This window comes from Homo sapiens, chromosome 4 (assembly GCF_000001405.40).
Source record: "Homo sapiens chromosome 4, GRCh38.p14 Primary Assembly".
NCBI lineage: Eukaryota > Metazoa > Chordata > Mammalia > Primates > Hominidae > Homo > Homo sapiens.
Genome location: NC_000004.12, coordinates 129,356,934 through 129,384,099, shown reverse-complemented (window position 1 = coordinate 129,384,099; position 27,166 = coordinate 129,356,934). Strand labels below are relative to the sequence as shown.

General features: G+C 38.5%; 1 long non-coding RNA gene across 1 annotated transcript; it reads left to right on the top strand.

The window, feature by feature from the left end:
- The first annotated feature begins 690 nt into the window (after positions 1–690).
- On the top strand, positions 691–21,209 carry LOC105377417 (uncharacterized). Its single transcript, XR_939191.3, has 3 exons — positions 691–922; positions 6,575–6,706; positions 20,915–21,209. It is a non-coding gene; the product is annotated as an uncharacterized LOC105377417 (long non-coding RNA).
- Positions 21,210–27,166: the final 5,957 nt, after the last annotated feature.

Below are 27,166 nucleotides of genomic sequence, written 5' to 3'. Positions count from 1 at the left end.
AGTCTCACAGGACTGGAAGTACAATTGGTCGTACACCCAAGGATAGCAGAACATAAGTCTATTACCTGGAGCCTCTCTCAATCACCTCTCATAAAGACTTCTTGGCATGAGATGCATATAGTTGGGAAATCAATTAGACTGTTATCTTCCAGTCCAAACCTAACTACGGAATTGAGGGACAGAACAGGATGAGATGCCAATAAATGTAAGAGAATCAGCAAAAATAAGAACTTGTCTAGAAAAAATCTTTATGTAAGGCTACCTGTCAATAGAAATGACTGGAAGCAAATGGATTGAAGGGCCAAGTTTTCCAGGAAATTGTACTACCCAAGAAATCCCAGGCTGCTTCAGCCAGAAGCTGCTACAAAAACTCATACTGAATACCTATTTCCAATAGAGAAAAAACTCACAAGTAGCATTCTTGCAAAGGATAAAGCTAGGGTCCACAGCGGAGATGGTCAAGGGAGCTATCTCAGAAAGCAGAACCAGGGGTGGCCAGAAGGGCCAAAACGGACCATACTCCACTGCTGGGGTAGGAAGTCTTTAATAACTCAGGTTATTTTTGTAATTTGCTATGTTTGTAATTCTTCCCTTTTCTGAATGGGAGTTTCTCCCATTCAGTTGTAGTTATGTTCTAGGCTGGTAATTTGTCTATTGTCTTATGGTCCCCAGAATGCAGAACTTCATCTGGACCTGTTGGAGAGAACTACCACCCAGAACTCCTGAGCTTCCATCTGAGGCTGTAATAAATGAGGCCATAATTATCTTCCCTGACATTCAGAAAGAATCCCAAGGGAATTGTATATGGCAAGAAAGCATATACATGGATATTTAGGAGGCCAGAGTGGCAAATTACTAGCTGCCCCCAAATATTTTTATCAGCATCCAACTAGAAACTTCATTTTCCAGCCTCCAGTAGAATGTGAGTAGAAGCAATGTGTGCATTCTGAAACTTCATTGTTACTTTGTTGAAAAGAAATGTCTTGCTCTGGACTTCTCCCCTTTTCATGACATAAAGCACAGCCATGTTAAATGGAATATGGGTCCCTAAAGATTGTCCTTTATGAAACATAGCTGCCCCTATCACCTTGACCTGGACTGGCTAAAGTGTTACCTAAAAAGTAATCTCTATGTTACTCAAACCATTTCATTTCTAGTTCCCTTTGTTAACAACAGTTTAGCCCTTGCTGTAACTAATATATCATTCACATTTCTGTTCCTTTGTAGGGACTATGAAACTTTCTTGTCTAAGGTAGGGCAGTTCCAGGGAGCCATTCCTAGAAATAAAAGAAATCAATCCACAGAAGACAGACTAAGAAATTAAATGGGTGAAAAATCAAACACATCTATTTTACACCTCAGTGATGACTGGTGATAACTATTCTTATAAAGAGTGTAAATACCTTATTGTCTTGACAGTTTCTCTTGTGTCTTATTTCATAGGCCCTCTCTCCTTTCCTTTAATTGTTAGAGTAATACAATCTTATTTAACAAAACAATATATATTTATTGTATGCCTCCTACATTCCAAGCATACAATCTTTTTCTTAAAGACAAGAATGAAAAAAGTTGTGCTATTATAGTCAACTCCATAGTAGACAAAGGAAGAGAGAGTCTCAGATAGAGAACAGGCCAATCCTGGTGAATGGGTGAGAAAAGTGAATATGCCTCGGAGGTTAGCAATCTCTATGGGTTCCAGAAAAGTGAAATGTCAAGTGCACCATCATTATTCTCCCTTTTGTTTTCAGCAGGCCTTTTAGACTTTTTGCCCTTCCTAAGCATTCAGAAAGTCAATCAGGATGAAATTAAAGGGAAATAAATTAGAAATTGACCAAAGATAGGGGTGGATTGGAGTACGTGGTATATATTTGAAAACTTTATAAAGACATTCCAATCAGGGCATGAAAAAACTTCTAAAGCTATATTTCCATTTTTACTAGTGAACACTCCAACTTACAGGTGGATAGGGAACAGTGAACACAAAATTGTTTGATCCAGTAGGTTAAGTAGCAGGTAGAAGATAATAGAGAATAAATTGTCAGCAGATGTTGTTGTTGGTTCAGAGCCTGAGACTGCCAAATCAGAATAGGCTGTTGGGATATCGTGGAATATAAATGACTTTCTCACTCCAGGTTGTTTAATTTCACTGAGTTTAAACTTGCAACTATTTATTATGATGTGTCCTATGTAGCTGAAAATTCTCTAAGTTTTAAAAGTATTGCTTTCCACGAAAAGAAGTCAGTGTGGTAGACGACATGGTGCACATCAAGGTCCCCTCTCCAAGGACTGAACCAATGATGTGCTGGGGCCAGCTTTTGCTGGCCCGTGAGGGCAAATTGTGGGCATCTCTTCATAACTATTGTTCAGTGACATCATGACAATAGTTTGAAATTAGCAATGATGGGAGTAGTTACACCATGGAAACTGGTGAACACCACGAATAAAGATTAATTTCTCCCCGCCTTGCTCCCCCTGCCTCAGAGAGCTGGTTTGCCAGCACACTACTGCTGGGAGTACTGACAGCTGAAGTTCTCGGCTGAGTCAGGTCATATTCCCTTCCCAAGAACATCCTGCAACCAAGACTGGCCTATGCAGAGAATAAAGAAAGGCCCAGTCTCCTGGCTGCAATTCAGAGCAACTCGAAGCATCATTCCAGTCTTTGCTGTGACTGCATCACAGTTCGACCCCTCACTCTACCCAGTCATGGTCCTTCCACTCCCCTCCACGTGTTGATCAGAGAGTATTCTCCAATAAACCTCCCACACACCACTCTCTACCTTAAGTCTGCATCTCAGAAAACTCAACCTAGGACAGAGACATAAGAAGAATAGAAAATTCATCTCCTAGAGGTAAAATAGAAGATTAGTCTTTCTACAAAGATAAATTTAATACTACTTACTTGGCTTTGCACTGTTTTAAATGATTTATACAAACAGAGAAGCCAGAACAACGTTGTTGGCTTTCATTGATGTTGTTGTTATTGTAGCTGCCGCTGTCCTCTTTTTCCAGAAATCTCTTCTCTTGGGGATTTTTTTTTATTTTTTCAAGTTTTATTTTAGATTCAGGGGGTACATGTGCAAGTTTGTTACCTGGCTGTATTGCGTGATGCCGAGTTTTGGGGTATGAATGATCCCATCACCCAGGTACTGAACATAGTATTGAGGAATATTTTTCATGTGTCATTAAATATAAGAAACACCAGAAGTTTTCAGTTATGAAAAAACCATTTGTTTTTATCTGTTTAATTTCAGTAATTTTAAGAGTGAATACCCCAGTGGTTTTATCCTAAATTCAAAAGAAAATTATAAAAAGAGATCAAACATGATCAAAGGAACCAAAGAGAAACTGATTTTACTGACTTTTTGGATATAGATATTTATTTCCCAATCACTGTTTTCAATGTTGTTTTGTCCAACATTTTAGCTCATCTCTTACATTTCAGTCATTTCAGTTTAATCTCAAGTCATTAGAACACTCTTCGGCTTAAAGTTTCTCTCATATTCTGTTTACATCTGATCTCTGCCTCAGCCATCCCCCTGCCAAAGCCAGGTCTGTGGCTACAGAAGCTTGAGTGTGGACAGCACCGCAAGACCAACTCTTTCACCCCTGCTCAGCATCTCTAAGTGGATGGGGAGGGAGAGACTAATTCATCCCTGTACTTTTTCAAAGCTTAACTTCTTTGGGGTTGAAGTAGATGGGAGGCAAGAGAGAAAGGAAGGGGGCATGTTTTTTCAACAAACTGTCTTGATTGTAGTCCCTTCCATGTTGGTTGTCTATGCTTTCCTGGCTATCCTTGAATGGTCATCTCTGCCCTCTGAATTCCAGAAGTCCAAGAGCTGACTCTTTCAGGGGTTGTCTTCAGAGTTCATCAGGAAGCCCAGGGAGTCTTCCCACATCTCAGTTCTCTGAAAAAGGAAGCCAGATCTGGCTCCACACCTCCCAAAGTCCTCAGTTCTTGACTCCCCCATAGTACACGATGGATGGGGTAGAAACTGACAAATGCCCAACTATCCCATGAAGAGAGGAGAGTCCATCTGCAGCATGAAATGGAAGCCCAGGAAGCTTCTCTTTCTCCATGCTGCCTCAATTCTCCTTCGGATAGTCCGAGATGGGGAGCAAGAGGGAGCTGGAGTGCAGGTTGGGGTTCGTGAACTAACAAATTCCTGATCAAGTTTTCTGGCTCCAATTGTTACTGGCTCTTGGAAGTACTTTCTTTAAATTTGGGGGTGCTTAATATCTCCTTGTTCTTAGCTAAGAGTGCTAATCACCTATAAGTCAGGAGGAAAATTGCACTCAATATCTTTATAATTTTTAACTGGCACTTAAAACCAGTTCCAAAACCTGAAAAAATATTTTGCCAGTTATCAAGTTAGCCTACACTGTCTAGCAAGGCAATATAGACTTCCTGAATTTGGTACTTGAATTTCCAAAGTGCTTGTTGCACGGATTAAATGTAAGAGAAAATTGCTGCGTCATCTCCTCCCTTTATATTTGTAGATTCAGAATAGTATGATAGAAAATTTGATGATGAGCACATAACTAACACATTATTGGTTTGGTAGAGCCTCCTAGTCTAGTACATGGCTTATGATTATAGCATAAGTGGCTTGAAATTTTCTGTAATTATTCTATTTCAATCATACACATTAAATCCTGCTTTAGATAAGATTCAGCACAATATCGGGTTTTTATCTCATAACTAGATGCCATCATTAATTTGCTTTTGTAGTGTTTGAAAATAACCCTCTATCACACATAGTTTGCTTCATACAATTTTCCTAAACAACAACAAATTGAATCCTTAAGGGCACGTCTGTGAGAAGTCTATGAACTTAAAAAAAAAAAAAGAAAGAAAAAACAATATCGACCCTGTTTGTTAGCAACCACAACCTTGCTCCTCAAAAACATCAACTTAAGAAGAAAAAAAAAAGCACTATTGCCAATACAGTTTGGGCTCCCTTAATTTCATGCACTGTGACTTCAACAATTTCTCCATTTCTCATCTTATTTCTATAAAAGTAGCCTCATTTAAAAGCAGGGAAACCACATTTCATGCTCTTCAGTTTCATTAAAGTTATACAAAAGGAGCCTACCAAAAGAAGCCTCTCCTAATTAAACAGTTGTAGCAGATGAAAATATTGAAATGATGAATCTGAAAGGAAGCTGACACTATATATTCTCCAGAATTTTTTATCATGACATGAAAAAAGGAACTGAAAAATTAAGATCTGAATCCCAGGATGAAGTGTCACATATGTCATTATAAAAAGAAGAAATGAGGTGTAACCCACTGACTTCTTAAGGTAGTACAGGTGATAAGATCTGAGAGAACCTGAGAACAAAGGGATTTCCTCTAATCCTTCATTAGGGTCGGCTTTTTTGTGGTTCCCACACGGGGGTTGGCCATAATTTACTTATGTTGGCCCATGATTTTATGCATCCTTGTAAACTAATGGCAACGGCTGGTTGATACAGATGCCTTGGATTCCCAGGAGAGTGCTTTCATCATAATTCAGCCCAAGTTATTGAGTGTGCTGTTCAATGGGCACTTGAGATGAAGTGTTACCAAGAATAAGAGAGAGTAAAACTGAATGTGTTATTCCTCCCCTCCAGGACCTGTAAAATAAGCTTTCTTGATTGACAGACTCCTTTTTCAAAGTGGAAAGAGTAATGACATGCTTCTCAGAGGCTTAGGAAGGAGACTGCATTCTAGATGGCTTCTGCCTCAACTGTATAGGCAGGCAGAGCGAGGTTTATCAAGCGAAGACCATTTGGTCTGCTCTTGGTAGTTATTTTTTAAGTGAGCTTCATTTCTTACAGCTCAGATTCTCAACGACTTACCAAGGTCTAATAAGCAGCTTGGGAATCTATAGATTTCATATGAAGTTTTATGTTAATATACTTGTTGCCTAATTAATCATTGCCTTTGTCTCTGCCTTGAATTTTTTACAGGATATTCCTAAAATGTGCTTTTATCCCCATCCTATTAGACCCAAGCACTAGAATTAGGTATAAACAATTCTGATTTTTTCGATTCTTAAACAGTTTTGAAAGTTGAGCTCATAAAGGCATAAACGACTGATTATAATTCTTCAGATTATTTGAACATTCCTCATGTTTTGTAATGCATTAGAATACCTTATGTAAGGGAGAAGGGGGCATTCACATTAAGACTTTATAAACTTACATTTGTATGTGTGTCTAATATGTACAGAAAGATGAGAGAGACAGAGAAGACCATATATGTGTATCTCTATATATGCACATATATATATATAGACCATTTTTTGACATGTAGCAATAAAATGTCTTGTTCTAACAAAATCTGTATATTACAACAATTTTCCAATATTGAGAGTAAATACTGTAAGGAAGAAGTATTGCATGAGTAAGCCATATCCCTGAATACTGGTGAACAAGTTAGGACAGTATGACTTAGGCACACACCCTTCCCAAGAAAACAAAGGAAGAGGGAAATGTGGCTAATGCTTATTAGAAGTTTACTCTATGCAGAATTCTGCTCGTCATGTTTTAGAAACAGCCTTTAAGTAATGATATTTTCTACATTTTACAGATGAAAAAGCTGAGGCTTAAAAGCACAAAGTTACTCCAAAGGAGAGGGATGATAGAGTTAATCGTCTAAACCAGGACACATCTGAGCATGAAAGGAGGCAGTCACTGCACAGGATGCTAGAACAAACGGAAGGTATAAAAAGGGGTTGTCCTGGGCAAACCAGAACAATATGTGTCATCCTACCCCAAAACGTGGTACAGCTAGGATTCAAACCTGAGCAGATTGGCTCTGAGCCTGGAACCTTAAACACTAAGCTATACTTAGTAGTTAACTTCCTTCCTCAAGTTGAAAAAAAAAAAAAGGAATAATGTGCTTTGAAAGCACTCTGGTATGTTATGTGTAAGTAGCCAAATGCAGATCAAAGAAGAAGGTTGCACTGACACATGCAAACAACTAATTAACTAGGACTAGTATCTTGCTGGGAGAGTGGGGTTCTAAAATCAGCAAGTAATGCGAAAATTGAGTAGACTCATACTGTACTTTAAAAGCCTCACAAGCACCAACACCATAAGAAACAACAGGAGAACTGATTCCAGCTGTGGAAACAACAGATCCCTATGTAGTATCTCTTGCTCTCTCTTTCTCTCTCTTTCTTCTGAAGATCTGCAGTTGGATTCTGGTGAGTTTAAATGAGCATAGCATGCAATGTCATTGAATAGCTCTGAATAGAATAAAATTTGTGCTCTGGAAATATCAAAGAAATATGGTAAAGAAAAACCAATAGGGAAATAGTTTAGAAGGCACTTACATAGAGGAATTTCATTTGAAGTGAGTACTTGAAGGATAATAATAATAATAATAATAATAATAATAATAATGTGCAGAAATGGGGGTTAGGACATACCAGTCCGAGACTACAATGTAAGAAAAGGCAGCAGACTCTTGAAAATGCCCATGCCTAGAATATCGGATCCACAGAATGTAGTTAAAGAATAAGATTATGAAGAACCTTGAAGGTCAGCTCAAGGAGTTCGTTCCTCATTCTCTGATCAGTGTTTGGTGACCTTTGGTGTGAATCAGATTCACTCATGAAGCTTTTCTTATAAAGGCATTATCCAGTATTACGGAGCCAGCTGCAAAGGAACAAAAGCTGCAGCAGTTAGAAGCTGCTCCTGAGGCCTGAGAATGGATTTGACATTGAGATGTGGAGTTTTCACTTTCATGTATGCCCTCTGGTGCTGGGATTTTTGTTATTGTTGAGACATGGTCTTGCTCTGTGGCCCAGGCTGATATGCAGAGGTACAATCTCAGCTCATTGCAGCCTCCACCTTCTGGGTCTCAAGCAATACTCCTGTTTCAGCTGCCCAAGTAGCTGGGACTACAGGTGTACACCACCACAACCAGCTGATTTTTGTCTTTCTTGTAGACAGAGGTTTCACCATGTTGCTTAGGCTGGTCTTAAACTCCTGGGTTCAAGCAATCCTCCTGCCTCAGTCTCCCAATGTGCTGGGATTACAGTCATGAGCCACTGCACTCAGCTGGGATTTTTTGAGTGGGAGATGGGAAAATTATTGACAGCAACAGGAGGCAGAGAAATTCTAGGCAGACTGGGATGGATCTCTGGCAAAACTCAATATTTGACCCAAAAAGCCTGAAACTCATGGCTCAAAGTGAGAACTTCCATCCCTATGTCCCCACTCTCTCCTGATTGGCTCTTTCTGAATAATGTATTTTTACCAATTGAATGTTGCCTTTTCCAAAACTACCTATCACCCACCTGCCCCCATCCTGTGCCTATAAAGACCCCAGACTCAGCCAGCAGACAGGAGAAGTGGCTGAATGTCGGGAAGAAGTGGCCGGACGTAGGGGAGAGGCGACTTTGACTTCAGAGACACAGCTGGACAAAGTAACTTGACTTCAGAAGAGAGAGGCAGAGAGGCAGCTTGACTTCAGGGGAGAGCAACTTTCCCTTCCAGTCCCTTATCCAGCTCCTCCCTCTCTGCTGAGAGCTGCTATCATCACTCAATAAAAGTATCCACATTCACTATCCTTCAATTCTGCCACATGACCTCATCTTCCTGGGCACAGGACATGAATTCAGGATGCACTAGGTGCAGGTACCCAAAAAGGCTGTCACACTGGACCTTTGCCTTGGTGACAGAAGGCAACCACCCCATGTGATGAGGCAAAGGGCCCACTGAGCTGATAACACACTGCTGTCTGTGGACTGCAGAGCTAAGAGAGCATTGTAACATGCCTCTGGGACCTTGGGACACAGGCACTCCACCTGGGTGCTGCCGCGGGACCCCACACAGAGTTTGCTCCTACCGGCACCAAAGCATCTGGTTCCTGCACTTGATCTCTCCAGTTCCTGGACTTGTTCACTCACATGCTCCCTTCTGTGAGGGTCTGAGCAGGGCAGGCTGAGTAAATGAGGCACCCCTGTTGCAAGACCCATGAAGGGGTCAAGAAAATATCCTACATTATTATCTTGTACATGTAATTCTTTATAATTAAACAATTATGTAAACATACATAATCTATCTGCTCAGTGACCAAATTAGGAGTAGCCGTCTAGGGTGAAACATGAGCACCTGGATATTTAAAATGCTCTAAAGCTGAGACTCACAGGCAGGGAAGCCAGGAACAATTGCTATCAGCAGTGGTGAGCTACTACAGGTTTTTGTGATCTTATCTATGTTTTAGTAACCTTATCTATGTTTTTTTTTTTGACAATTTTCTGGAAAGGAAAGAAAGTTGAGGCCCGGAAAACGTTTAGAAAAATTCTGTAGTAATTTAAGGACCAGTGGCATGAGCATGGAAAGGAGAAATCTCAGATTTTTAATGTCAAATGGAAAACTAAGATTACCAAAAGATTACTGGCAAACATTTTATGCTATTCTCTATTACATAAGCTTGCTGGAATAGCTTCACATAGTTTGAATAACAGAAGAAACTGCTGAAATAAAAATTATACAAGCAAAAGAGGTGAACAATTCTACAAGCAAGACAGCATGTTGTTATATTCCAATATATGTGTCTTTGTAGTCAGTACATCTGACTTCAACCCTAGCTTTGACATTTATTGTCTAATCCTGGACCTAAACCTCTCAAGTTTCAGATTGTCATCTGGAAAATGAGAGTTGTACCTGTCACTGACACCAGGAACTTTTTTTTTTTTAACAGCTGTACACTTATGGGTCCTAGGGTAATTGAAACATAGGAGAAACCTATGACCCAAAATCTTAGAAAATGATATAGTCATGAATACTAACTAGACATCGTGGGAGCAGTTCATGGGAAGCTCCCACCTGTCTCAAACAAGGGACAAGCTGACCTAGACGTATGAAGGGACTCACTGGAAAACCAATGGTTTCTACCTCAAGATCAAGCATTCAGCTCCAGATGTGTCAATGGGAATCATCTTCTGCACAGCAAGAAACATCTCAACCAAATGTATGATGTTTACTTCCCAGTGAGGTATTTTCCCTGATTTCAGTCAGCTTCCCACCAATATATGACTCTCATCCAGTGCTCTTTTTCTCACAGTCTCACTATCTCCTAATGAAAGTAAGTGAAATGTGATGGATACATCTATTTCCTACTCATCACATGGACAGATGCTTCTTGCAGTATAGCACAGCAATCTAGAGCTAGCCTGCTTTCCACAGACTGAAACCCATTCAAGACTTTCTTTACTTACCTCATTCTTATGACTCCCAAAGACACCTTCCTTACAAGATCATTGTAAAGATCAAAGAGAAAATGGATATAAAACATCCAGCACACAGTTGACACTGAACAAATGTCATTTGTTAGTTTCAGGTTCAAATCTTGGTGCCACTTACAAACTATAGGGCAAGCTTCTTCATCTGTAACCCACACGAATAATATCTACCTTGAAGAGTTGTTATAAAGATTAAATAATAAAACAGGATAGCATATATGAGCATTCTACTCACTTACAATGGCTTCCTTCTTTCTAGTTCTACTCCTCCAAAAAAGCATAATGCCATGGAATTTTGGAAGGAATAAAAAGGAGGTAAACAATTGGTTCTCAGAGCAACTGGTTCCAGGGCAGGGTCTGGGGTCAAACTGTCTGAGTTCAAACCACAACTCTCCCAGCTCTGTAACTTTGGGCAAGTTGTTCAATTCCTCTGTGCTTCAATTTCCTCATCTGTAAAAGGGCATAGCAATAGTATCTACATCATACAGGTAGTTGTAGGATTCAACCAATTGATACATACAAAGTACTTAGAACAGGACTCAGCACTTAATAAGTGTTCAATAAATATTACCTAGTATTGGCCAGGAGTGGTGGCTCACGCCTGTAGTCCCAGCACTTAGGGAGGCCCAGGCGGGCAGATCGTGAGGTCAAGAGATTGAGACCATCCTGGCCAACATGGTGAAACCCTGTCTCTACTAAATATACAAAACTTAGCTGGGCATGGTGGCATGCACCTGTAGTCCCAGCTACTCAGGAGGCTGAGGCAGGAAAATCACTTGAACCTGGGAGGCGGAGGTTGCAGTGAGCCGAGATCACGCCACTGCACTCCAGCCTGGCAACAGAGTGAGACTCCGTCTCAAAATAAATAAATAAATAAATAATAAATAAATAAATAAAGTTACCTAGTATTATTATTTGTTTGACAATTCTCCTTTAGACTTTAAACCATAGCAAAAAGAATCAGGGCGTACATAGTCCCTATAGGGGAGAGGTTATTTGTGCTCTTCTCAATTGTTGTGGGTGGAATCACTGTCAGCTGTGGCATTCCTAGGTTCATCTGCTTTCATACCTCCTGAATACTGTATGAAAATAAAAACTAATTCTGCTACCATAAAAAGGACACTTAGTGGCATTGACTTTGAAAGTTTGCTATAATCACTCAAGCTTCTTTTTGCTGTTAAAAGAGAAACAAGGTTTAAAAAGATTCTGTGTTTCAAAACAAATAACTCTAGGCAAACATTATTGCTAAATAACTGGTTATATACTGCCCCAAGAAAAGAACAGTTTCAAAAACTTGATATGGAGAACACAATCCAAACTTGTGTGTGTGTGTGTGTGTGCGCGCGTGTGCGTGCACACACCCTCACTCAAGCAAGCACATGCACATAGATACACATACATTATTTGCCTTTGTGTCTCTGGAAAAGATGGAAATGGTCTGAAATCAAGCAAAACAGATGGCTGAGTGGGCTTGTGAATCGCCTATATCTCAAGGAAGTTAAGAAGTCATTGCAGCAGTTTTTAAGGAGAAATATGTAAGTTTTTAGAAAGTTTTCATACTGTCTTGTCTATCGCTATGCAGCTTAGAATATGTACTTTTGAGATTACTAAAGAGTAGGACTCTGAGGACGCCTTAAAATCTGAGTGAAATAGTGCAAGAGCTTCTGTTCTGGATACTCTTCTTTATAAACCAGAAATATATTGGTGCTCTAACATAATTGGATACAGATGTGCTTTGCATCACTCACTAGTTATGTTTCTGAAAGAGTTTTACAAAAGTTGAAGAAAAATAATTTTGTGCTCACCAGAAGTGCTTACTGTTCTTAAAGGAATTTTATGTTTAAGCCTTTTATAAAGCAGTGAATCTTTTGTGAATATTCTTATCCTGTAAGTGTAAATAATCATTATTTTTTACACGGTGCACTGTCCTGTACATGTGTCAGAAAGATTGAGCCATATGGGCAGCACCTTAGTACGACCAGCCTCATCTCTCTCATCCCACCTGCCCCCTCACCTCCTCACCTCCCATCTCCTCTCCTACACACAAACACCAGATGAGTCTCCCTGACATGTTATTTTACAAAGATTTTTAACTGGCGATGAGGGCCTTTTATAAGTTTACCCCCAAACCTGTAAGAGCTTTGAAAGTGCTTGGTCATCTGGCTTGATCTTTCACTCCTTAGATCTTTTCTGCATGGAATTTTGGCATCCCAATCAATTCCGATCTTTGTCCCCTAGACTTTTTTGTATTCTAGCCCACACTTTTTCTTTGAAATTTTCTCTGACACACATCACCTACCTCATACCTTACCCCAACACACACATAGTAATTTTTTCCATTCTGTGAATACCCATGGTTTTCTTTCATTTGAATTCCCTTAAATTCTTTCTCATAGGATAAATATATTTACACAAGTCTCAACTGCCCAACCAGTTTGAGGACTTTCTGAGGGTAGTAATTTACAGTCTTTCATTGTGCTCGCCCGGTGCCTGACATAAAGCCTGTACTCACTGTTCTGCGAGGATGGGTTTAATGTCATACACATGCTCTACACACAGCACTGCCCTGGATGCTGCAGGAAATATGAATAAGACTCAGTCTTTACCTCAAGTATAATCTGCTGGAGAGAAATGGAAGCCTCCAGTCAGTACAGAAGACAGACTATGAGGAGGACAATAAGGAAGACATAAACAATGGGACGGGGCAGGAGACCAGATGGCTTGCAGCAGTCAGGATGAAAAAATATGTCATGGAAAAGATGGCTTTTGACCTGGGGTTAGAATTTCAATGGGCAGTAAATGAAGCTAGTCAAGAAGCAGAGAGCCAACTGAGCACAGATCTCTGGGTAAATATCCCCATTTTGGTGGAAACTGAGCTATGAGACAGTGGAAACCTAAGGCTGGTTAGTGTGGGTCATGTTTTAAGGACCTTAAAGCCTTGCTGAGAATGTACAAAGGGGTAAATCATAATCCTCTATATTCTCCACTTTGCAACCTAGCAGGGATCAGGAAGAGATTTCTGTTTTTATTGGTAACAATGGGTTGTTAATACTGGAATTACGCAGTGCCTGAAATCCTAAATTAATTGAAAAGCAAAGCCTGCATTAACCAAACTTAGGAGCTTGCACAGTTATTCCTCAAAGCCATAAATCAGAACAAATCAGCACAGAGGCAACTGGGCTTTCTACCAAACATCAGTGAATTTCACCTGAATTTTTCTCTCAGAAAAAAAAAAGAAGAAGAAGAAAGAAAGAAAGAGGATAAGCTTCCAGTTACATTTCAGTTACATTTGCCAGAAGGACAGATTCACTGTAACTGTGTAAATATGTCTGCCTAGGCTCTTATGCACACCTACATGTAGGAAGATAATTAATTGATACTTTTCTCCTCATTTATAATGATGGCTTATTTCTAGGAGGAGGCCATATAGATCAGGTTGAAATAAATTTATTCTCCCCAAAGACAAATGCTTATTTGTCATTCCATTTTTTTGTCTTATAAATAACAAATTATTATATTTATCATAGTTCAAGTACACTTAGAGGAGAAAGAGAAATGATTTAAAATACATCTGATTTTTTGTCTAAAGTTTTTAATCACATAAAGAAGAGCAAGAGTCAATGTTCCCAGAAAGTACCCCAATTTTTCTCAAACTAGTTAAATTTTTATATTTCTAGAAAGTAATTAGAAAATCACATATTAAAATTGGAAAAACTATCTTTTGGGCATAAGATTCATTTTTCTACTGGTCAACAGTACTTCTCAGTATAAGTTTTTGTGCTTTGTTCAGTCTGATTCTAAGTGTGGTCTCCCCTACCAGGGAGACTTTTTGTTCCTTCCAAATTTGTTGCCTTTCTGAAATTTTTTCTGATATTCAACCTAAACCTCTCTTTTCTTTTACCCTATTTCAGAATATATGTTCTGAGGATGCCAAGCCACAGAAGCCTACATTCTAACTGCTGAGATTTGAAGTTGTTGTTGATTTTTCTTTTTTTTTTTTTTAATCCATTAGCCATATTCTCTTTCAGCTGCTGAGGAACAGATGTTGAGCTTCTAATAAGAAAAAGCATGAATCCCATAGGAAAACAGCATCTCTGGTTCTAAAAGCAATATCAGAACAGAGCAAACTTCCTAATATTTGACTAAATTTTGCTTAGAAATGAAATCCTATGGCCTTTTCTGTGTACATTTGCTAATGTTTTAGTCTAAAATAAACTAGCAAGGCCTTCTCAGTGTTGAAATACATGCCCTTCCAGCTGCAGTGATGAACTGTGCTTCATACCAAACACTGGAATTTCTTTTCTGTGATTAGTTTACCATACTTGTAAGCCGGAGCTTACTACTTACTATATATAGAGTCGGGTGGAAGATAGAAGTGCATAATCGTTCCTAAATCATAAGAAGTATTCTCAGTTCATGCCATACCATAGAAAAATAAAGTTTAAAGTGCAATCAGGTGCTTTGATAGAAAACCTCAGTTCTTTGATCACTTCTGTAGAGGTATATGCATTAATGTCAAATCATCACTTGATGTGAAAGCCCAGATTTTTTTATAAAAAATTTCCTTTTATAGAATATTGAAAGCAGACAGACAAGCAGTTAAATGCCTTTACGCTTTTTAACTCTGGCCCCCTGGCAGGTATTCTAATGAGTATGAGAATAATTGAGAACCACATTTTGAAATTGTCTAGAAATTGCCTAAAATTTTGGATAGTGGATCATTTTAAGACAGTAGAATCTAGGCTGGTGTTAGGGGTTTAAGGTCGTTCAGAGCCGACCTGTGTTGTCTTCCTTTTTGCTTACCCTAGCACCTAACATAGTGTCTTGCATTGAGCTAACGCTCAACAAATATGTGTTACTTACTTCATAAATATTAGACACATTGTCACCACAGAGAAGTTACATGGTCCTGCTCTACTATCCCTTTGTTTGTGTAGATTAATTTTCCACTCTTCAACACAACTTCATTGCTTAAATGGTAACTGTAGCTAACATTTTATATGCCAGGCACTGTTCTGAATGCATTATGCATATTGACTTGTTTAATCCTTACAATGACCCTATGTCTGATGTATAATTACAATCCCTATTCTACAGATAAAGCAACTAAGGACTAGAGAGGCTGACTTGCCCAAGTTTACCTACAGAGTAAGGGGCAGAATTCAAAGCCAGGCATTTTATTTGCAATGCCCATTCTCTTAAAGCACTACTCGCTCTCTCCATAACGTCCCTACCCCTTCCCAACCTCCTCCCCGCTAATAACAGTGATTCTCAAACTTAAGTCTGCTTCAGAAAAATGTGGAGAGCTTCTTATAACATTGATGCCTGAACCCCACCTCCAAGTTTCTGATTCAGAAGATCTTGGGTGAGGCCTGAGATTTTGCATTTCTAACATATTGCCGGTGCTGCTGCTGCAACCACCCTGGGAACTTTGCTTTGAGAAGCACTGTTCTACAGAGTCACTGTCTTTAAAAGATGCTATCAATTTGAGGCTTAGTCAATAGTATCTACAGCGTGGAGCCTATGCATTCCTATCAAGGAAACCTCACAACTTGTTGACTTAAAGAACAAAGTTCATTTATTTCTTGCCCAATGACCTAGGACAGCTCACATCAGGATTGCCACTCAGGATACAGAATTCTTTCATTTTGTTGCTCCCCCGTTCCCCAGTATGTTATGATCCACATGGTCAAAGCTGGGACTCTGTCACATGCATGTCCCATTTAGTAGGAAAGGGAAGATATACCCAATAAACGAAGGTCCAGATCCAGAAATGACATGTTGTTTCTACTCACATTTCAATTGCAAGAACTAAGTCATCTGACAACAGTAATTGCAAGGGAAATTTAGACATGTTCCATTATACCCTAAAATGGAACATGGAGAAAACAGATTTGGCAATTGATATGCAATCATTGCTACAAATATACCACCTCATATTTCTACATTGTCCCTTCTCTACACATGACCTGCCATCCTCACTGCACTGAATATTACATGTATATTGTATGTTCTCATTGGGCCTAAAGCAGTTGAGCTTTCCACATATTTGCTGAGGTACTCAACAAATATGATAAAGTATATGATTAACCCAGTTACCTAGAATAAGGTCTTTAACTTACCTACAGTTATTTAATTTATAAAAGCACACTAATAATTTCTATCCTAGCAATATTTAAAGATGCCCTACAAAGAATACAATTATGGAATAATAAAACATTATTTTATGAGTTCTTGGATTATATCAGGCAGTTCACAAAGCATTTTATGTAAATCATGCATTTAACCATCACACAAACTCTAAAGACAGATATTTCATAAAGAAATCTCCATGTTTTGGGTAAGGAAACAAAAGCAGATCAGGTACCTGGTCCTAAGCACACAGTTATTAATTTGTAGAACTGAATTTTGAACACACACAGATATGACTCCAAGTCACTGCTTTTAACTACTATTGAATCTTCAAAAATATAAACATGAAATGATCAATTATTTAATGTATGCATTGAGCCACCTTTGAAAGATTAGAATGTTATTCCTGGCATTAATAGTTTGATGATGTTCCCTAAGAGATTATTGCATGGATTCACAGGAGTCTCCCTTGAAGGCATCTGACCCACTGGTCCTGGAGCCTTGCCTGGCACTACAATTATCTGGGAAACTTCTAAACAGTGTCGCTGTTTGAACCCACCCCAGATCAATAAAGCAGCATCTCTGGAGTAAGAATCAGGCCTCCATATGCTAGATATGTTTTAATTGTGTTGATATAACCAAGGGAAATAATTCAACCAGCGAAGGGGTGATTATGCCAACTCAAGAAACGGGGAAACTGGCGAAGGCCTGGAGCCCCATTTTGTGGGTGAACTTCCAGTCTTCATTCTCATTCCACCCAAGTGTATCATTAAAATGTCACCAGCACTTACCTAACCCCTAGATGCTTTTCAGCACACTTTCCTCAGTTTAGATAAGTTTTCTTTTAATGATTGGTACTCTACAACCTTGCCTCCAGTGCTAGGATACAGATATACTTTTTTGGACACTATTTAATAAAAATAGCCTTGGTTGGCCACCAACATGAGCCTTACTCCAGATTCCCCAGGGTGACAAATAGCACGATCATGTTCCAATATTGTTCATGTGCTTTAAGACTGTAGTTAATCCTCTAGGATGTTTTCAGAACCTGCTAACAATTACAACTCAAATAACATTTACATTTTCACCTCTGTTAAATAAGTTATCTGTTGCTCTCAAGAGAAGAAAGCATTCCTTCTTCTGGAAAGAAAAAAAGAGTTAGTGATGCAATATAAATTTTGCAGTTTACCTAAATTTTAATATTTGACCTGTGGCAGAGACTATTAGGTGTTCTCCAGTATCCATCTTCGTCTTCCTTATTGATGCAGTGATGGAAACCCTGCATATTAGTTGGTCACACGAAAGCACAAAATAAAGACCATCTTGAAGCTAAGTGTGGCCCTATGACTAAGTCCTGGCCAGTGGAATATAGGTGGAAGCAATTGGTGAAACCACTAGGAAGTCACCTTAAAGAGGGAGCATGGGCCAGATGCGGTGGCTCATGCCTATAATCCCAGCACTTTGAGAGGCCAAAGCAGGAGGATCACCTGAGGTCAGGAGTTCAAGACCAGCTTGACCAACATGGTGAAACCCCATCTCTACTAAAAATACAAAAATTACCTGGGTGTAGTGGCACATGCCTGTAATCCTAGCTACTCGGGAGGCTGAGGCAGGAGAACCACTTGAAACCAGAAGGCAGAGGTTGCAGTGAGCCGAGATCGCGCCACTGCACTCCAGCCTGGGTGGCAGAGTGAAACACTGTCTCAAAAAAATAAAAATAAAAGAAGTGAGGTAGCATGTCTTTTTACTTCTCTTTTCTTCTTCCTGCTGCCTGAAATGAGGATACAAAATCCGGCCCTGCCATCTCTGACAAAGACACAGTCACTGCATGTTGAGGATGGCAGATCAGTCAGGAGAGATGAACCTGGATTCCCAGGGATGCTGGCACTGGGGCACAAGCCAAGGACTGCATTTCCATTTCTTTCTCGTTAAACCCACTAAACTTTAGTGTTTTTGTCACTTTCAGTGGAACCTAATTCTAACTAATATCTTGCCACTTAAATAGAAAGTCAGAAATGGATTAGCAAACTATTACAGAAAATATTTATATATTTAAAAGCAATCGTTTGAAACTGATATTTTGTGATTAAACAATATACTTTCTCATTCTTGTTTGCTCTTTCCTTGAGCTGTAAGATGGAAAGAAAAGGCAAAATATACAGCTCTTGTGGAGGGAAATGTGAGAGTTTGAAATCATTTAATGTATGAAAAAGTAGTTGCTAGGTGACTGTTGTCTGAAAGCTTGCTGAGGTGTGTTGGCACCTAAAGAAAAATGCAAGTAGGAGTAATGTTTTGTACGTTTACCCCTTAATGAAGATGCTGCATGATTTTTAAATGGTGAAAACTAAGTAAACAAGCAAAGGAAAAAAACACATTTTTTCACACAAGCGAAAGGAACTTTTATTTTCAAGCAACCACATCCTCCAGAGGGAGCAGCGGCAATTGGCTCATGTGCACAGGATGCGCAGGCTTCTCATGGTCCCCCTGTTGCGGGCATGCAGCACTGTCTCTGAGGTTCCAGAAGCAGCTGCCACGAAACTCAATTTTAGCTGGTAACACCTGCCAGAGGCTGAGTCTCTTTGGAAGAGGGGCTTAGGTGCTGAGGGTCCTTTTGACAAGGGGAAGCCCAGGCTGATTCTGGTGACAATCTTGTGTCACATATAGTGAATGTGCTGATGGGGAAGCTGAGGGGAAGACAGACACAGAAGTTCTTCATGACAGCAGAGAGAGAGAACGCGGTCAGACCAGAAATAGGTCAAGAGCACACTAAGCACTGCTCTCACTCAGATCAACCACTGCTTCCCTGGCCAAGAGAGCCTGATGACGGCAGGAAAAAAATCACTCCTCCCCACTCATCCCCTTCTACCAGACCTTCCCAGTGGTTCTTACCAGCTCTGACTTTTAAACTTCTCTGTCAAAATGCGGCTAAAATCTCCAACTGAATACAAAGGGAGGTATTTGTTATCATTAATAATTTAGAGAACTGGGAATAAAGTTGGTCCTATTAGATATGAAAAGAAGCGGTGGAGAAGGTCAAAAGCCAAGGCTTAGTGAAGCGAAAAATTCTAGTGGAAATATTAGAACTGGAGAGGCAGATCTGACCTATGAGTACAGCTTCCAACGCATCCTCTCCTTGGCTTTTTTATTAATTTCAATTATTCGATTGCCAGTTTTGACCTGTGGAAGTTCGGATGACACCCACACCCCAACAAAAATATATCTAATGATGAAACCTTGTACTTTGAATCTACCCACATCATTTAACTGCAGCCTCAAACTTTACCCTGACCCCTATAGGTGAAAAGCAATACGTTATCATGCCATCCCTTTATGGTTTGAAACGTACACACAATCAAAGCAAGGAGACATTGCTCATTGGGTGAATGCGGGTCTTTTCCTGGGTTTATAATGTTTCAGGCTGCGATGTGGGAGGAGAACAAAGTGCAGGCGCCAAGCGGCCTCTCCAGCAAAGCTACTGTTGTCTCCCACCAGGCAACAGTATTTGCAGGATTGTAATTATTATTATTTCCTTTTATAAAAGACCAGTTCAAAAATCCCGAATAATAATTTACCTCCCAAGAATTTGCTCATTATTTAGTTATTCCATCCCTTCTGCTCTTTCAAAACCTTATTTTTGCAGCTAGGCATGCAATAATCTCCCAGAGTTTCTGGAGCAGGTCTTTTTCTATTCATGTGATTGCAAACAGAAACTCCTTATTCAAGAAGGAAAAGGTTATTAAACCGAGTGAAGGCCTTTTTATATTAAAATAGATATAAAAAGATAGGAAAGAACTGTGACTGCGATCTCAACGGTGAGGCATGCTGCAAGAGGCGTGAGCCGTGCACAGCCCTGACTCGACCTGTCCAGACGGGCACCCTGCCAGCAGCAGTAAATTTAAAAGTCAGTTTGTTAATAACTTCATTTGCAATGCATTTGGTTACTTTTTAATATCTGCTTATTGTTTCCTGGGTGTCCAGGCATGTTTTCTAAATGAAATTCAAGTGAGTTATTAAAACCTTGAGCTGTTATGTTCTGAGACATTCATCTGGTGAACTATCTAAATTTTCAAAGTGCATCTGAGGTCAAAACATGAAGTAGCTCCAAACTTATGCATCCTTATTTTACTGACCCTGAAGCTTAGGTTCACTTAGCATTGTTTGGAGGTTGGAATGGAGGCTGATTGTTTGTAGAAGAAAGTCTTATCGTTTTTGTCCTTCGGTCTATCACCTTTCTGAGGAAGTTACTCACTCCTCCCTGTCTCATGCCACTCTCTGGACAATTCTCTTTTGTAAAGCGTATTCAACCACAGTGCAGTCCAGAGATCTTAGCCATTCTCTCCATCACCCCTGTCCTGATGCATAAATTGGCCCAAAAGCATCCCAATTGCCCTCATGACTTCAAGACATAAAAATTACCAGCCGGCACTCTGAGCACCCCATGGGCATTACTAGGAAATAAAGCAGAAAAGTCGTATTAAGCCATCTTATTGGGAGTTATCAAGAAACAAATGAACTAATTATTATTTCTTTTCTTTTCCCAGTGATTTGCAATTCCTGGATGACACCTGAATTTTACCAAAAGGTTTCAAGGCAACCCTTTAGAAAGTGACCTTTTGCTTTCCCCATTTCCTTTGCCCTAAGTGTTAATTGACTTTGAAAAAGCAGTATATTATCTTTTCAGAAAAAAGAAAAGGATAGACCTTATTTGTGAACACCAACATCCTACAGCATCAAAGCGTTGTTTAAATCATCGCACAGCAGAGCTGAGAACAACTATCCAGGAGAGTGAGATTTAAAAAAAAAGAAAAGAAAAGAAGTCTTAGAATGAAAGAGTGCTGCTGCCATCTAGTGGCATGGGTGATCGTAGGCAGCTATCAACAACATCAACATACAGGAAAATAATGTTATCATCCAGCTTTGAGGGGAAATTTTCTAATTCATTTTGTGTGCAGAGGTCACCTTTACTCATTCTTTGTCCTAGCAAAGGCATGGACTTTGTAAAGACAGCTATATGTGGGATTTCGTGAAAAAAAGTTCTCTCCTAGTAAAATGCTTCCCTGAGTTACTGACAGGTACATAAGAGTTAGTGTGAGTACCTGCATAATTGTGTAAAGTGGCTTTGCTTTGACACTTACAAGATCACATGCAGACTTTCCTTTAATATGTAGATCCAGAACCACTGTACCTATATTCTTCTATCCCTCTACAGCATTGCTTCCTTACAGCATAATTTGTCTTACGGCATAAAAAACATTTCTTTTTCTTTTAAATTTTCGCCATTCACCTAAATGAAATTGTGAAGATGTGTAACATACATTAAATTAAAAGAGCCTAGCAATTACGGAAAATAAGAATTATAGTTTTTTAAAAAACAAATTAGGAGCCATTATTAGGCGTATAGAGCTTATACAGCATTGGAGGCTAAAAAAAAAACAAGGGTGTTAATGTTCCCATTAATATTCAGGCCAGGTACATCAAGAAGACAGAAGTTATTATGGTATCTGATCAATTGCATGGAACATACAATTTCTTAATTTAGAATATAAATGTAATTTATAAATAAAATGTAGTCCATATGGAACAGAGCTACATCTTCTAAAAGCATTGTCCCTCTTGGAAGAGAGTACTTTCGTTCAGTCTGTTCTCAGTAGTCTTGGGGAAAGGAGTTTCTGTGAATTGTAATAGCAATCCTACATTCAATATTATTATTTAGTGGTTAACTAAAATGCAATTTGTGACTCTGAGCCAAAAAGAGCAACCTTTTTTCCCACTGTGCCCTTGAACTTCTGATTTTTAAAGACTCCAATTTTACTTAAGTTTTACTAACACTATTTCAGCAAAGAACGTTTTGTCTGTCATGCGAGCCTTAACAGTGTTGTAACTTAAACTAGGATATTTCCCTTCATCAACTAAAGAAGAAAAATGGTACCAACCAGGCATTAGTCATCTAGAATGATTGCTTATTTAGAATTCAGGAGCTATTAACTGGCTTTGTAATACCAAAAGCAATATTTCATTTCTATAGTCCTCTATTTTCTCATTTAAAAAAAAGCAAGAAATGACCCTTGTGATAGCTTTTTATTCTAAGAGCCCAGGGTCTTAGTTATATTACCATATAGTCATATAGTTAAAAATTACATACAATGTAAGATAAAATGATACATAAATATTAATAAATAAATAAATGAATGAAGCAGATCAAGAGCTTTACCCAAGATGATCTTATGATTAGAAAATAAATTATAATTAAATTACTTCGGTAATATTATGAAATATCTAAAACTAAAACAGTATGATGTTGATATGGGTAAAACTTCTCATAACAAATTTTTTATACCAAATATAAAATAACCTATTTTTGATTCTTCAGTTTTATGATTAGTCTAGATATATATTTTCTGTTATTCACCCTTCTTGGGTGAGTTCATTAGGCTTTTGCAATTTGAGGACTGGTATCTTTTAACAATTCTGGGAAATGTATAACCATTATTTCTTGAACTATTTTAACTTTCTTATTCTCTGTCCCCTCTCCTTCCAGAACTCTGATTTGAGTTTTCATGCTGTGCTTTCTTACTTTGTATCCTGTGCTCTTAACCTCTCTTTTATATTTTCCATCCCTGTTTCTTGATACTTTATTCTGGACAATTTCTTCAGCTGTCTTTCAATTCACTAATTTTCTCTTATACTGTTTCCAATCTTCTATTAAACCCATTTATTGAGCTTTTAATTTTTAAAACAATGTATTTCCCATTTCTAAAAATTCTATTTTTTCATGTCTGCTTGTTTCTTACTTTCTTCTTATTCAGTTTTAGATAATATATTTTATTTTCATAAACATACAAAGTATACTTTTTTCTGTTCTTTGTCTAATACTATCAATATCTAAATATGTCAATACTACTATCTGTTTCTGAATACTCTCGCTTTCTTATTCTGTTTCTTTTTGTGTTTTGGGATTTGGGCTGTTCACTCATATTTCTTCAGAGAGTCATAGGAATGACTTGGAAACTGGGTTGAAGATGTATTCCTCCATTTGTTTCTTCCACTTTCCTAAACACACCAATCTCACAGCACCTCAAACCTACCTGAGGACTGTCCTGTGGTTACACATTCTACAGAGATATCCTTTTTCCTTCAACTGATATCAGACTTTGACATAAGTGATTTTCCTTGCTGTGATGGGGCAGCAAGGCAGGGAGCATTCTTTCCAGTTTTTATTTATTCTTTATCCTGAAGGGACAGGGCTTTGGAGTTCCAATTTTGCATGAAGCCTCCTGTTATAATTCTCATATTTAATAGGCCCTAAGCTTTTTCTCACACCTCCTATGCTCTGTGGGACACAAAAAAGCAAAAAAATCAAGCCACCCGGATTTGGCAAACATTCTAACAGCTGGCCTCATCGCTCCACTTTTCTGACTGGGTGCTCACTTTCACATAGCTTCTGGCCTCTGAGAAGTTCTTAACTCCTTGCCAGAACACCCGTGATCTAATGATGAGGGAGACTTTCAGTTTTATCCAGAGGTCTGTCAAATAATCTAGATTTCCTTCCTGTTAAAAACAGAAGTCCATTTCTATTGAATCTGAATCTAAATCTAAACATGTGTTGTGTGTTCCCTAAGACTTGAGGTACTGAACACTCGGCTTGTCATCTGTTGCTTAATGATTTGACTGATCTTCCTAAAGTAAATTTAGTAATTCCATTCTCACCCTTTCAATACCAGCTTCTGGCATCAGGTTAAAATCCAGTCACCCTAACCCATCTTACAATATGCTTAGGCATGCAGATCTCTCTACACGCGTCTCTACCATCAGAACCATCGCTTTCACCACCATCATTCAGTCCTACTGTGTTGCATTCAGTATCTTTGCTCCCTGTGCTCTCTTGAATCTTCTTACATGTTCTTTGCTAGAGCACACTTCTAGCCATTGGTCAAATTTCAGCTAATCTGTCACCTCCTGCAGAAAGCCTTCTGTGAGCTCCAGATCCAGGTTCAGTGGTGCTGAGTGGTGCCCTTCCTTAGTATCCCATGGAGCCTTACATCTATTTCCTCTATCACAGCTTTTATCACTCTGTTTTATCACTGCCTATTAAGATTTCAGTATCCCCATTACAATAAATATAGACTTTATAAAAGCAGGCATATTTGTTCTGTTCAATTATATACTTGGCACTGACCACAATCCCTCACACATAATAAACACTCAATAAATATTTTCATACCAAAAATGAAGTATCTTTCATCCTTTTCTTAATTGTAAACAAAAGTTTCATTGTGCCTGTATATTTCTATAGAATTGTGTCTTAAATTATTGAGTAATACAGAGATATGGGTATTTGTATTCATTTGAAAGATATTGTTATTTCAGAGCCTTATTTTTATCCTCAAAAAGCAATCTCTCAAAATGTTAACTCAAATCTGAAACTCAGTTAATGCTGTTGCCAAGAGGACAGCAAGTCATAAAAGCTTTGGGGACCCTATTCCTATTGTCTATGAAGAATGATTTAATTTCTTCATTACAATTCCTGCTGTGTTGAAAGAAAACAAGGTAAAAGACTCATCAGAAGGTCTTCCTGACTGAAATCTGGGGAGATTGTGGCAATTTGACATTCATTAAAGCAACAGCTAAAATGATTAGAGACAGCTAGACCCTAACCTGGCGCATGTCTGCCTAAAGAGAGGAAAGGCAGTGTGATATGTCTATGAGGTGCATAAATATTACCTTGCTTCCTTCTTTGCTCTCCTCTGATTCTGCAGTTACTTCTTTCACTTTTGTGTTTCTAATTCATCACCTTCAGGATTCATGTGAGGCCCTTTTTTCCATCAAAATTAACCTTAGAATTTGACTTAGCCAATAGTGTACCCATACTACAAGTTAAATTATTTCAGGCTGAAATTGCCACTGTGGTTTTTCTAAATACCAAAGTAATTAGTCATCCAACCATTTGCCTTGATGAAAATAGAGCAAAGTGGCAGGTTATAAACATGATGTAACTCAGCACAGTGGACATAGCTTTTTGTGGCTAATCAACTATGCCAGATTGTGTATATTATAAACCACACTCAAAAACTTCACAACAAACTTGACTGAATTTAAAAATAGTGAAATCTAGAGCACAAGAGTATATGTCTGATGTTGAAAAGCTCCAATATTATCAGTGATGTGTGGAGTCCCTGCAAACTCTTGAATCTTTTACTCTTTAACTCTTTAGAAACATTTACAGAGGTAGAAAAAGTAACATAAGTAACTTCTTTGAAGTTTCTGTTCATTAATTAATTATGACCTACAAGAGAATTGATTGAGCACTTGATTCAGCTTCAGAATTGTTCTTAGAATATGTCTGTGTCTAAAGTAGAGGGCCAGACTTTTTCCAGGATATTAGATCTGGTAGTATTTTATGATAAATGTCTATAAAATCTCTTTTCTAAGGGAGAAATGCAGCTCTTCTTTCTCAGTCTGATGGTAAGCATTAAATCTCTTTCTTCATGGATGATGTTCTCAACACATTATTATGGCATTGATATCGTACAGCAACCTAACGCATTCACTAGTAGTAATGAGGATTTTCGTGTAAAGAGAAAATCAAACAAATAAACATGTAAGTGTCTTCCCTAGGATCACACAGTGGCAAAGACAAATCAGGGAGCTGTCTAGTATCTAAGTAATCTGTGTCCCATTCCTGATTTTGTCCAATAGTAATACATCCTCCCATTAAAGCACAATTTAGGTTTATTTTTTCCCTGGAAGTAATGTGCTATTCTACAACCACAGCTTCCTCAAAGTTCCTTATATCTGCTTTAAAAAGGATCTGATTCTAGACACGAGCCTCTTTAATAGGAAGCCTGCTCTCCTTTGAGAGAAGTACACTGTGAGAAGACACACTGTGAACCATAAGAAACAAGTTGCTGAAGTGGATAATAACCTGGATAGGATATTGAAGCCAAAGATATCTATTTGTTGAGTGGCAGCATCACCAAATTGAGGGAAGTGACTTGTGGCATGTCATATGGATCAGCATTAGTATTGATTTTGGTTACTTTGCTGACCTAAAAGAAAGAAAATACAGTAAGGTGATGAAATGTGCTGGTGACACAAAGTGGAAAAATTCAGTCGATACAAGGCAGGAAAATGATAAAACTAACAATGACTTGGACAGGTTTGAATTATGGACTAATAAGTGCCTTATGCCATTCAGTTTTGGGAAAGTGTAAATAAATTAAAGTTAAATACATGAGAAAAATAAATCGAACTTTCTGTGGGACATAGTTACCAAATCGCTTCCCCCAGAAGTTCAACATGGAGACAACTTTTACTTTTCCAAATATTTAAGAATAAAACACTTGTAATATAATTTCATGCAAAAGGCCAATGAAAGAAGATATTGTGGTATTGGGGGGTACTATGCACTCATCCTTGAGAGGAATAAAATAAACTCTAAAGAAGTTTGGGTATTGAGTCAGGCAAGCAAGATTAACTCCTCAGAATGACAAAATGGCTCCCCTGGACCCAGTTAATATGCAGTGCCTTGGAAAGTATTCCCAGGGTTGGAAAGTATAACAGACAAGATGATTCAACCTTTATCACATTTATATTTATAAACAAAAACTAAAAGGTACAAGAGATCTCAAATGAGAAGTAAATGGAAACCTCAAATGTTATTATATTCACAGAGTGGGATTCAGATAGTTAAGGAATAAAGATGATGAAAGAAATACAAAATTAACAGGAGCAGGTGGGAAAAAAAAAAAAAGGATGACTTTATGCCACACGGCCTCTGGTATTGATGTCTAGTG